Source organism: Homo sapiens, chromosome 12 (genome assembly GCF_000001405.40).
Source record: "Homo sapiens chromosome 12, GRCh38.p14 Primary Assembly".
Classification (NCBI taxonomy): Eukaryota; Metazoa; Chordata; class Mammalia; order Primates; family Hominidae; genus Homo; species Homo sapiens.
Genome location: NC_000012.12, coordinates 7,841,026 through 7,854,424, shown reverse-complemented (window position 1 = coordinate 7,854,424; position 13,399 = coordinate 7,841,026). Strand labels below are relative to the sequence as shown.

At 42.6% G+C, this 13,399-nt stretch overlaps 1 protein-coding gene across 6 annotated transcripts in view, besides 2 other annotated features; it reads left to right on the top strand.

Annotated features, from left to right (window-relative positions):
• SLC2A14 (solute carrier family 2 member 14) overlaps positions 1-13,399 on the top strand; it is a 78,683-nt gene that overhangs the window by 36,772 nt on the left and 28,512 nt on the right. The window lies entirely within an intron of this gene.
• Positions 2,110-3,309: an enhancer, noted in NCBI's record as "P300/CBP strongly-dependent group 1 enhancer chr12:8003712-8004911 (GRCh37/hg19 assembly coordinates)". NCBI's record gives its function as "activates an origin of replication core promoter dependent on BRD2, BRD4, P300/CBP, MED14 and CDK7 cofactors, with strong dependence on P300/CBP, by STARR-seq in HCT116 cells {active_cell/tissue: HCT116}" and the evidence as "EXISTENCE:reporter gene assay evidence [ECO:0000049][PMID:35650434]".
• Positions 11,271-12,155: an enhancer, noted in NCBI's record as "H3K27ac-H3K4me1 hESC enhancer chr12:7994866-7995750 (GRCh37/hg19 assembly coordinates)". NCBI's record gives its function as "activates a minimal SCP1, AML or CMV promoter by ChIP-STARR-seq in naive H9 embryonic stem cells {active_cell/tissue: H9 hESC(naive)}" and the evidence as "EXISTENCE:reporter gene assay evidence [ECO:0000049][PMID:30033119]".

Here is a 13,399-nt window from a genome sequence, read left to right as displayed (position 1 = left end):
GGACAGTTTATAATGGCTTTGACAAGTATGGTGTAGCAGACATGTGCGAGTGGAAGGAATCTAAGAGTATTTTGGAGATAAAGGTAACAGTTTTTGTTGGTGGATTAGATATGGAAGGTGTGGGAAAGAGAAAAATCCTGAATAACTCCTAGCTTTTGCAATTTGGTGAACAGTGATAAAATATTTACTGAGATGTAAAAGACTAGAGAAGGAAAAGATTTGGGAGTTTGAAAGATAAACAGGACTTCTCCTTTGGCTATGCTTAATTTGAGAGGCTTTTTGACCACCCAGATACAAATAAGACAGGCTATAGATATATGACTCTAATCACTTCTCAGTCTTTTGGCCAAGATCAAGTGATATTGACTCTGGAAGTCAGGGGGAAAGCCATCATTGAAAAACTTAACTAACTTACGAGACAACCCATTATATTTTGGATAGCTCTAGTTATCAGAAAGTTCTTGCAGTTACACTAAGGTGACTATAAATGTTATATAAATTTGATGCTCATTTCCATTCAGGGTTCCTGAAAAGTACACACTTTTCTAAGCACATTCAATATTGGAAGAAAGTTATCACATTCTCCATCTTTTATTTTCTGAGCTAAACAATCAATTCTAGTTTCTCCAGCTGTTCTTCATGACCTGTTTCTAGACATGTCATCATCCTGGTTGGTCATATGCCATATAAGGTAGGATGCCAAGGACTAACGTGACCAGAATAATCATATACAAAATGTAAGACTGTCATCCCTCGGATTTGCCATTCTTTCAGAAATATGTTTGCCTTTTATAATTCATCTGTTTTCTTTCTTTTTCTTTTCTTGAGACAGCATCTTGCTCTGTCACCCAGGCTGCAGTGTAGTGGTGAGATCTTGGCTCACTGCAACCTCTGTCTCCTGGGTTCAAGAGATTCTCCTGCCTCAGCCTCCCAAGTAGCTGGGACTACAGGTGCGCCACCACGCCTGGCTAATTTTTTTTTTTTTTTTTTTTTTTGAAATGGAGTCTCTCTCTGTTGCTCTGGCTGGAGTGCAATGGCATGATCTGCAACCTCCACCTCCCGGGTTCAAGCGATTCTCCTGCCTCAGCCTCCTGAGTAGCTGGGATTACAGGCGCGCACCACCATGCCTAGCTAATTTTTGTAATTTTAGTAGAGACAAGGTTTCACCATGTTGGTCAGGCTGCTCTCAAACTCCTGACCTCATGATCCATCCACCTCAGCCTCCCAAAGTTCTGGGATTACAGGCATGAGCCACCATGCCCAGCCCTGTTTTCTTTCTTATTGTCATTAGTGTGTCAGTGTTCCTACCTGTGGCATACAATGTCTCTTCTTATTTTCATCTAATCCGTTGTTGGATTCGGAAATCAAATAACCAATTGAAGCTATCAGATATTAACATTTTGCTTTGTATGTTTGGGATATTTTGTAATAATTTAAAAGGAGAGAGAGAGTATGTGCTTCCTGAGAGAGACCAAAGCCTTTCTATGAGTTGTGCTTTGAATTTTAGTGAGAAAACCTTTCTTTTTTCTCTGTTTCCTCCTGCCTATATACAAAATAAATGAGTTTCCCAAACAGTTGAGTGTCAGATGGGTGAGGTATTTCAGCCTTTTGCACAGGATCTCATTGGAGATTTTCTGAGATGTCTTGCTGAAATCAAGGTGCATGGTGTCTAAGGCAGTGGTTCTCAAACAGTGGTGACTTGCTCCCAGTGGACATTTGGCAATATCTGGAGATATTTTTGTTGTCATGATTACAAGAAAGGGATTACATATTTCTAGTGGGGAGAGGCCAGGGATTCTGCTAACCATTCTGTAATGCATGGGACAAGCCTCTGTAACAAAGAATTGTCTGGCCCCAAATGTCAGTAATACCTATATTTGGGACTATGGTATTTCTCTGATTTTATTAACTTTATGGGAAAAAGTTAGAAAAGTTTTAAACTTACTGAAATAATTCTACTTCCAACTAATCACTGCTCTCTTCTTTTATTACATAGAAATCATCTGTGAATAATCTTTCTAGATGGGGAAAAAATGAAGCACTGCTTTTTTCCACTTTTGTAAAATGGAAAAGTTTACATTTTTCTGTCACCATTCTCAATCTACATAATTTTTTTAATATTAACAGTGCCCGATGATTAAATTTGGACACTATGTTCATATACTGTTATTTAAAGAAAAATTATACTTTCACCATATCTCATTTTCCTTTCTGGCCTTCTGTTTCTCTTCCCCACGTTTATTCATTTGTTACAGTTGTAAGGTTTTTCTTGAGGAGGTAAGTAATCCTGTTTTTCTTCTGTCATCTCTAAAAACTAAGTAAATACAATACAACTTAAACTAGAAGCTCTGTTCTTATCTTTTAGGACCCCTAGTGAGACATGTAGCTATTTTGGAATGAGGCTATACTAATCATGTTGACTAGCTACTTATTAGTGAGAGAGATGGGGGCAGAAGTCACTGTCCCGTCACCAGGTAGATAAGAATGTGGGAGACAAAGAATGATGCTGTCTCTGCACGTCCTCCACGTGGGGACATTGGAATCTTTTCCTGGGGCTGTGGCATTTCTTTTGTATTGACTGCAGCTGTCAGGATCAAAGAAGAGCTAATGAGACAAAAGTAAATAGCTTCATTCTCAGGCTACCTGAGAGGAGCAATGTCTAATGGAGATTAAAAGATGAAAGGGGAGAAAAATTCTTTCTCAGCCATACCCAGATACAACTAAGTCACTGTTTTCACATGCTTCTGATTCTTCAAATTCTATGTTAACCACTTAGAATCTAGTGGCAAAAATAATCTTTTCCTAATGCTTTTTTACTTATTACATTTTCATTATTTTAAAGATAGAGGACAGTAATGTTTCCTGATCTCAATGCTTTTATATTTAGAGCTAGAGATTTATTCAGTCAGCTAGTCATTTATTAAATTATTATTGACTATGTCTATATGTTCCAGACCCAAACATGAACCAGGGAAAGGCTCCAAAAACTTGGCAGTTTCAAGTATATATTTGAAAGAGGATTGATAAGTGAACACCTGATTTGTAGTTGAAATATTTATATAATTTTTCACCTTTCTTCCGGGGTGATGACTACTTCAGATGCATTGGTCAGGAAGTATTTGTTAGGGCTGTGTATTTGTAGAACCCTTGAGACTGCACAGAATAAAATAGCTAGTATCCTTCTTCAGCCATAAGACCACCTTCTAGAATTAGAGAACTGAGACACAGGTTTAATGACTTAAGTTTTCAGCACAGTCTGTAGCGTAGTCTGTACCACAGTCTGTGCTGATACTTACGTTTTCTAACTTCCAACCTTGTCTTTGTTCTAAAAACACAGGTGAGGGAAGATTGCTTGCAGAAAATGCTTTCTGCTGTTGTACCAAGGGTGTTTCTCTCCAGAAAGCCTCTGAAGCAACCAAATTGGGGTTCAGGGTTGAGGTCGAGGAAAACAATGGAAAAGCAAGAGTGAAAAAAGCACAGACCAAGAAAAAACATTTTAACTGAGGCAAAGCATCTAGGATAAAAGAGACACATTTGATGTATGTGGAACACAAGTAGTATGTAGGTGCTGTGACAGAGAAAAAAAGCCCTAAGATTTTCCTTCATAGCTGGTCTAAATGCAGTGGTCCTTACAACCAACTGATCACAACCAGTAACAATTTTCTTTGTTCCTTCTCCACTCTCACAGCTTCACTTGACTAGCCTTAAAAATAAATAAATAATAAATAAATGGCCTGGCCTGGCGGCTCACGCCTGTAATCCCAGCACTTTGGGAGGCCGAGGTGGGTGGATCACGAGGTCAAAAGATCGAGACCATCCTGGCCAACATGGCGAAACCCCGTCTCTACTAAAAATACAAACATTAGCCGGGTGTGGTGGTGCACGCCTGTAATCCCAGCTACTTGGGAGGCTGAGGCAGGAGAATGGCTTGAACCCAGGAGACGGATGTTGCAGTGAGCCGAGATCACACCACTGCACTCCAAGCCTGGTGACAGAGCGAGACTCCGTCTCAAAAAAATAATAATAATAAATAAATTAGTTCATTCCTCACCTGAGGGCTTACACTTGAAGTAGAACTACTGGTATTCAAAGACTGCTGCAGCATCCCCGAACTTGCTTTTCCAGCATTATCTCTTCCTAGACTCCTGTAAGTGCCTTATTCCTCAGCTAAACTGGACTAAGCACCATTCCCCAGCCTTCCCACAAACTGCCCACCACCAGACATGTGCCCAGGCCATTCCACCTTACTGAAATGCTCTTGTCTAATCTTTATCTCTTATCTCTTAGTCTACCCATCTTCCAAGATCCCTTCCAAATACCAACTTCAAGAAGCCTTTCTGGGTGTTTCCACGTGAATAAAATCTCGTGATTCTTGGCTCTTTTTTTTTTTTTTAGCACTTTCTTGTCTTGTCCCCTCCAGCACCACATTGTAACTTTTGAGGTCAGGGACTTTGGGTTCCCTGCATCGTACAGCAGAGTGTTGTGCATTTTGTAGACTTTTTCCTTTTTTTTTTTTTTTTGAGATGGAGTCTCGCTCTGTCACCCAGGCTGGAGTTCAGTGCCCTGATCTCGGCTCACTGCAACCTCTACCTCCCAGGTTCAAGCGATTCTCCTGCCTCAAGGCCTCCCGAGTAGCTGGGACTACAGGTGCCCGCCGCCACACCCGGCTAATTTTTTTTTGCATTTTTAGTAGAGACGGGGTTTTACCAGGTTGGCCAGGCTGGTCTCCATTTCCCTACCTCGTGATCCGCCTGCCTCAGCCTCCCAAATTGCTGGGATTACAGGCATGAGCCACTGCACCCAGCCCAGACTTTTTCAATATATATCCACATACATTTTAATTTTTTTCATCACCTTTAAAAAAAAGCTCATTCAATTCTTTCTGGGTTTAGAAAGCTGTTCTTTCTTGATTTACTTATGTGTGTAACAGTCTTGCTGTCTTGCCCAGGCTAGAGTGTAGTGGCATGATCATGGCTCACTGCAACCTCAACCTCCAGAGCTTGAATGATCCTCCCACTTCAGCCTCCCAAGTAGCTAGGACCACAGGTGGGCGCCACCACACCTGGCTAATTATTTGTATTGTTTGTAGAGATGAAGTTTTGCCATGTTGCCCAGGGTGGTCTTGAACTCCTGGACTCAAGCAATCCTCCCACCTCGATCTTCCAAAGTGCTGGGATTACAGGCATGAGCCACCACGCCCAATGTATGGATGTTTTTATCAAGATGTTATCTTGCCCGAAGATTGAGAGGTCCAAATAAGAACTCAGTGAAAGCGGGCGCAGTGTCTCAGACCAGTAATCCCAGCACTTTGGGAGACGGAGGTGGGCTGACTACCCTGAGGTCAGGAGTGCCAGACCAGCCTGGCCAACATGGCAAAACCCTGTCTCTACTAAAAATACAAAAATTAGCCGGGCGAGGTGGCAGGTTCCTGTAATGCCAGCTACTTGGAGGCTGAGGCAGGAGAATCACTTGAACCCGGGAAGCGGAGTCCAGTGAGCCCAGATCGCACCACTGCACTCCAGCCTGGAAAACAGAGCAAGACTCTGTCTCAAAAAAAGAAAAAAAAAGAGGCCGGGCGCGGTGGCTCATGCTTGTAATCCCAGCACTTTGGGAGGTCGAAGCGGGTGGATCACCTGAGGTCAGGAGTTCGAGACCATCCTGGCCAACATGGTGAAACCCCATCTCTACTAAAAATACAAAAATTAGCCGGGCATGGTGGCGGGCACCTGTAATCCCAGCTACTCGGGAGGCTGAGGCAGGAGAATTGCTTGAACGCAGGAGGTGGAGGTTGCGGTGAGCTGAGACTGCGCCATTGCACTCCAGCCTGGGCGACAAGAGCAAAAACTCTGTCTCAAAAAAAAAAAAAAATGGAATTGGAAAAAGCAGAATTTGTGGCTAGGATGGGCGGGGACAAGGATGACTAGGTAATAGAGACTGGAAAAGAGAATGGAATAGACGTAAGGAGCATTAAGTTAGTGGCTACCTGGGGTAAATGGAAAAAGAAAAACAAAGAACAAGAAAGGGAATTGTAAAAAATAATAATAAAAAAAAGACAATCTGAGATACAAATATTGAAGAGATGGCAGGAGAACAGTCAAGACATAAGAGCTGTGTCTAAGGGACATATTCCTGGCTTTTGGTTGTCCTAGGGAGGTTCCTTTCTGTGCACGTCAGAAGATGACAGGCAAGAAAACAAAGTGGAAAACAATAAGGAAGTGAAGGTAACCCCTTTATAACCTCCCACTGCTTCATTCCTTGGAAATAGAAATGACTCAGGGAGGCAGATGAGGATAAATAAAACGCTGCCTTGAAACAGTCTCTATGCTTAGCTAGATTCTGTCTGCAGCTGCTTTCTGCAGAATCCTGCAAATTGGGTTTGTCATCTGACCGTGTCTCTCTCCTCCTGTGTCTCTACATCTATTTCAGGTCCCTGGGTTTGCTCGTGTCTGTTGCCTTGGTTCCTCTGCTGTGTTCCTCTAACTGTGGGCAATGCCTCCATCCATTTCTAGAAGTAAATGTGTTGATGGCATTTTATCACCTGTGTAGTTCCTCTTTTGACTCTCTCAATTCTCACCTATGTCTGCGCCTGTTGTTTTTACCTTCGTCTTTTATTTTTCTTTCTGCACCCTTTTGTTTCTGCTTCTGTCACTGCTTCTCTCTACCAGCTGGCTTTCTATGATGATGACATCCCCATAGCAACCTCTCTCTGGGGAAGAATGAGGGGAAGGAAAAGAGAGAGCTAGAATAGATGGGCTAAGAGAAGCCAGATTGGAGCTGGAAGGTGACCTTTTGGATTGAGTCCTAGAACAGAGTACAGAGAAACTATGAAGACTGATACCAGCCAAGTTACACAAAACCCTAAGAAAACACAAATTGGGAGCCCAAATCCAGTCCCTGCTGGCAAAACTCATTCAGCAAATCCTTTCTGTTGTAAATTAACCTGTCATCTGTTTTCCCTTCCTTGTGATTCAGATGAACTATTCTTCCTTTCTTTGTTTCTAGGTCTCATGATTCTTAAACATGTATAGTTCTTTTTTTCTTCTTAAAGCTAGTCAAGTGAAGCAGTGTGAGTGGAAAAGGAACAAAGAAATTCATAATTGGTACAGTGGTACAAACACCACTGTACTCAGATCAGCCACATGTATATTTTCTTTCCTTTTCTTTTCTTTTTTGAGACAGAGTTTCTCTCTTGGTGCCCAGGCTGGAGTGCAATGGCACAATCTTGGGTCACTGCAACCTCTGCCTCCCAGGTTCAAGTGATTCTCCTGCCTCAGCCTCCTGAGTAGCTGGGATTACAGGCATGCACCACCACACTTGGTTAATTTTGTATTTTTAGTAGAGACAGGGTTTCTCTATGTTGGTCAGGCTGGCCTTGAACTCCCAACCTCAGGTGATCCACCCACCTCGGCCTCCCAAAGTGCTGGGATTACAGGTGTGGCCACTGCGCCCGGCCGCCACAGGTATATTTTCTTTTAAAATTTATGAATATTCAGGACCAGACGTGGTGGCTCACACCTGTAATCCCAGCACTTCGGGAGGCCAGGGCAGGTGGATCATGAGGTCAGGAGTTCGAGACCAGCCTGGCCAACACAGTGAAACCCTGTCTCTACTAAAAATACAAAAAAATTAGGCGGGTGTAGTGGCGGGCGCTTGTAATCCCAGCTACTCCAGAGGCTGAGGCAGGAGAATCGCTTGAACCCAGGAGGCAGAGGTTGGAGTGAGCCAAGATCACGCCATTACACTCCAGCCTGGGTGACAGAGCGAGACTCCATCTCAAAAAAAAAAAAAATTATGAATATTCACATTGTAACCACAAGGTCTTTCTTTTGATATACTATAGTTTTTTCACTAAGATTAGTTCTGGACACCATACTTTAAGTGATACATGAAATACACTTGGAATGCCCTTAGAAAAAGACCAATAAAGAAAAAAACCAACATGAAATGATATTATCCACTCTTATTTAGGACCAGAATGTTAGATAAGAGATTTAATAAGGATAAAGTTTTTTTTTTTTTTAACCAATAATGAGATTTGTTTCATGTAGGGAAGGGTTGTTGAGTGAGTTAAAGCAATGGAATAATTCTGCTCAGAGATCTTTAAATTATATAAATATCCAAATATCTGTAAATAAAATTGGTTAGATCAGTTTTCCCTCAAACTTTAGCTTCCTTTTTCCACCGTTTCCTTTGACCTCCACCTGGAGAGCTGGTTAGACACAAATTCCTGAGCTCTACTCTCAGTAATTCTGATTCTGTAGGTCTGGGGGGATAGGAGGGGCTTGAGTTTGCATTTCTAGTTCTTTTTCTTTCTTTCTTTCTTTTTTTTGTTTAGACAAGGTCTCCCTTTGTCACCCTGGCTGGAGTGCAGTGGCACCATCTCAGCTCTCTGCAGCCTCGACCTCCCAGGCTCAAGCTATTCTTCTGCCTTAGCTTCCTGGGTAGCTGGGTTTACAGGCATGCACCACCACGCCCAGCTAATTTTTTGTATTTTTGATAGAGATGGGGTTTTGCCAGGTTGCCCCCACTGGTCTCAAACTCCTCAGATCAGGAAATCCACCCGCCTTGGCATCCCAAAGTGCTGCGATTACAGGCGTGAGCCACCACGCCTGGCCTTGAGTTTGCATTTCTTTTTTTTTTTTTTTTGAGATGGAGTCTCGCTGTGTCGCCCAGGCTGGAGTGCAGTGGCGCGATCTCAGCTCACTGCAAGCTCTGCCTCCCGGGTTCATGCCATTCTCCTGCCTCAGCCTCCCAAGTAGCTGGGACTACAGGCGCCTGCCACCACGCCCGGCTAATTTTTTGTATTTGTAGTAGAGATGGGGTTTCACCATGTTAGGCAGGATGGTCTCAATCTACTGACCTCATGATCCACCCGCCTCGGCCTCCCAAAGTACTGGGATTACAGGCGTAAGCCACCACGCCTGGCCTTGAGTTTGCATTTCTAACAGGATCCTGGGAGATTCTGATGTTGCTGGTCCCCGGACCACAATTTGAGTAGCACTAGTCTAGATGATTTCCGAAGTCAAGCAATACAGTTGACATACATAGTACATAAATGTGTGGTTATTTTATTGTTCCTTGATTAAAAATAACTTTCCTTTGGGAATGGAGGAGCATGAATAGACTAAATCAAGTTGGTTTTGTTTTTCTCTGCCATTTGCAAGCTGTGATATCCATTGACCCCTTTCTTTGTTTTGTAAAATGACCAACCATAGAGGTTTGCCCAGGTACTTTCAGTGCTAAAACTGAGATAGTCCTGGGCAAACGGGATGATTGGGTGACCTCTCCATTCACGAGGCTAGTGAAATAGAAAGAATGTATAAGGAAAAATGAACGTGGCTAGGGATCAGAAAATGCAGTTTCTAGTCGTAATTCACAACTTATTAATATTCTGACCTTAAATTGATCATTTAAATTCTCTTTCAGTTTTTGCACCTATAAAATGGTGATAATGTTAACTACTTTACTTACTTACCACAAAAGTTTTGAGGATCAATTGAAATAATGGATAAAAAGATTATTAAAATACCATATACATATTAAGACAAAGATGTAGCTCACTTGTTTTTGCTTAGAATTTACGATTTACAGCCCGGTGCGGTGGCTCACACCTGTAATCCCAGCACTTTGGGAGGCCAAGGCGGGTGGATCAGCTGAAGTCAGGGGTTCGAGACCAGCCTGGCCAATATGGTGAAACCCCTCTTTACTAAAAATGTAAAAATTAGCTGGATGTGGTGGCATTTGCCTGTAATCCCAGCTACTCGGGAGGCTGAGGCACGAAAACTGCTTGAACCTGGGAGGTGGAGGCTGCAATGAGCCGAGATTGTGCCACTGAACTCCAGCCTGGGTGACAGAGTGAGACCCTGTCTAAAAAAAAAAAAGGAGTTTACTATTTACTGGCAAAAAATAGCAACCCAGCAATCTCATTCCTAAGCATACAACAAGTATACAATCGAGAGAAAAGAATTCATACATTCAGCAAATATCAGGAATGTTTATAATAGCTCGAACTGGAAACAATGATGCATACATCAGTGGGAGAATAGATAAGTAAATGTTGTCATAGCCAAAAGTGGAATACTACTCAGCAGTAAGAAGGAATGAACTACCAACACCACCACATAGTACTCGTAGACACGATGCTCAGTGAAAAAACATCTGAGCACAAAAGAGTACATACTGTATGGTTCCATTTAAAGGTCAAGAACAACAAAATTCATTGATGATGGCGGAAGTAAAAATAGCAATTTCTTCTGGAGAAGGAGGCTATAGACTGGAACCAGCACTAGGAAACTTTTTGAGGAGCAAGAAATGTTAAAGAATCTAGATCTTGATCTGGTTAATGGTTATGCCTGTGAATACAGATATAAATATTCACCCAACTGTAAACTCCAGATTAGTGCATTTTTATCTGCTTTATTGCATGTGCCCTTCAGTAAAGTAGAAAAAAATAAAAGAAAAGACAACAATAAAGGAAGGAAGAACTCACCCTCAATTCTATCACCACTAGAAAACAATGTGTTTTTTTCTTGAAATGTTTGCATTCTAACCGCCCCAGCACTAAGAAGAGGTTCAGTTTTGTAATTGGAACGTCTGATGAGCATCTGATGAGTGGATCCAGAGGTTATCCCCTCATGTCGAGTTGATGATGATATTTCAGCTTCTAGACTTGAGCAAGATGACAGCAAAGGGAAGCGGAAACCCTGGGTCACTGGTTCAGGAAGACGGCCAGGTTTACATCAACGTTGCAACAAATCTGGTGGCTTTTTTTTTCGTTTCGTGTTGCTGTTTCTTTTCTTCCTCTTCATCTTTGGGTCCGTTTGCTACTTTTCTTGGATTGATTTTCCACTCTACCCCACTACACAACGTACTCTTTGGGGAGGAGGGGGGTCTTTACATTTTCTTCCACTCTCCGACTTTCCCATATTTTCTCATGTGTCTCAGTGAATTCAATGGTATGTGCTAACATTTTCTTTTATGAGTCTATTCCAGGGGCTCACATCCTGTCCCCTGCCCGAGGAGCCTTCCAGTAGCCTTTACAGCCGCATTCTCAGGCTTTCATCCACTCTTTTTGAAACAGCGCCTGTGACATTCCCACTCATTACAGCGTGCCCCTCCCATGCCTCCAGGAAATTCTCTGTTTTCCCACCGGCTTTCTACTCAGCAGCTATTCTCAGTCTAATGCGCTTCATTCACCGTCAGCCTTCCTCAGGAAGACATAAAAAAGGGTGAAAAAGAACATTTATTTCTCAGGAAGGATTGGTCAGCTGACTAAGTTGTCTGAGGGTCTAAAAAGATGAGGGGGTAACTCAAAGCATAAATGCTTGAGGAGATGGATACCCCATTCTCCATGAGGTGATTATTTTACATTGCATGCCTATATTAAAACATTTATGTGGCCAGGCGCGGTGGCTCACACCTGTAATCCCAGCACTTTGGGAGGCTGAGGCGGGCGGATCACCTGAGGTCGGGAGTTCGAGACCAGCCTGATCAACATGTAGAAACCCTATCTCTACTAAAAATATAAAATTAGCTGGGTGTGGTGGCACATGGCTGTAATCACAGCTACTCGGGAGGCTGAGGCAGGAGAATCACTTGAACGCGGGAGGCGGAGGTTGCGATGAGCCGAGATCGCACCATTGCACCCCAGCCTGGGCAACAAGAGCGAAACTCCATCACAAAAAAAACAAAAAAAAAAAAAAGAGAAAAAGAAAGAGTAGATGTGAGTCAGCTAAGCACTTCAGTCATCATGTAGCTGTTTTCCTGTGAGTGGGGGGAGGGGGGTGGTAGCCTGGTGATTGTGTCCCACTGATAGCTACACAGAGAAAGAAGGACATTTATAGCTTTAGAGCACTGCTAGAGAAAAGTTAAGGAACTCAAAGAACTGTCTTCACTTCATGCAAGCAATTATCTGTGTTGCTTATATATTGGCACTTGTATAGAAGAAGTCTTTTCCCGCTTCTCGGCCTTTTGGCTAAGATCAAGTGAAGATGACTTTTAAAACCCTTGTCTGTGATCCTGCAATCACCCTCCTTGGTACTTACATAAATGAGTTGAAATCATGCATCTACATGAAAACCTGCAAACGAATGTTTAGAGCAGTTTTATTCGTAGTTGCTAAAACTTACCAAGATGTCCTTCAGTAGGTGAAGGGATAAACTGTGGTGCATCCAAATAATGGAATATTATCCAGTGATAAAAAGAAATGAGCCACGAAAAGACATGCAGGGACCTTCAATGAATATCACTAAGTGAAATAAGCCAATCTGAAAAGGCTACATAATGTATGACTCCAACTGTATGACATTCTGGAAAAGGCAAAACTATGCAAAAAGACAGCAAAAAGATCAGTGATTGCCAGGGGTTGGAGGAGTAGGGAAGGGAGGTGGAACATGGGATCTTTTTTTTTTTTTTCTTTTGAGACAGAGTTTCGCTCTTGTTGCCCAGGCTGGAGTGCAATGGTGCAATCTCGGCTCACTGTAACCTCTGCCTCCTGGGTTCAGTCAATTCTCCTGCCTCAGCCTCCTGAGTAATTGGGATTACAAGCATGCACCACTACGCCCGGCTAATTTTATATTTTTAGTAGAGATGGGGTTTCACCATGTTGGTTGGGCTGGTGTCGAACTCCTGACCTCGTGATCTGCCCACCTTGGCCTCCCAAAGTTCTGGGATTACAGGCGTTAGCCACTGCACCCAGCCTGGAACATGGGATTTTTAGGGCAGTAAAGCTGTTCCGTATGATATCATACATTTATCAAACCTATAGAATATACAACACAAAGAATGAACTTGAATATAAACTATGGACTTTATGTAATAATAATATATCAATATTAGCCCATCAATTATTAACATGACAGATGTGGCTCGGCGAGCTGGCTCACGCCTGTAATCCTAGCACTTTGGAAGGCCAAGTCAGGCAGATCTTCTGAGGTCAGGAGTTCAACACCAGCCTGGCCAACATGGCAAAACCCCGTCTCTACTAAAAATACAAAAATTAGCCGGGCATGGTGATGGGTGCCTGTAATCCCAGCTGCTTGGGAGGCTGAGGCAGGAGAATCGCTTAAACGTGGGAGGTGGAGGTTGCAGTGAGCCGAGATCATGGCACTGAACTCCAGCCTGGGTGACAGAGTGCAAGAAAAAAATAATAACAATAAATAATAATGATAATAATATAAGAGATGTATCACACTAATGCAAATGTTAGTATTAGGGGTGTTAAGGGAGTACATGGGAACTCTGTGTACTTTCTGCTCAATTTTTCTGTAAACCTAAAACTGCCCACCCCCAATAAATCCTATTAATTAAAAAACAAAGCGAAACACTTGTTTATATGTCTCTCTCCATCCGCTTCACCACCATGAGAACTTAAAGGGAGGAACATGTTTTTTATCTTTAT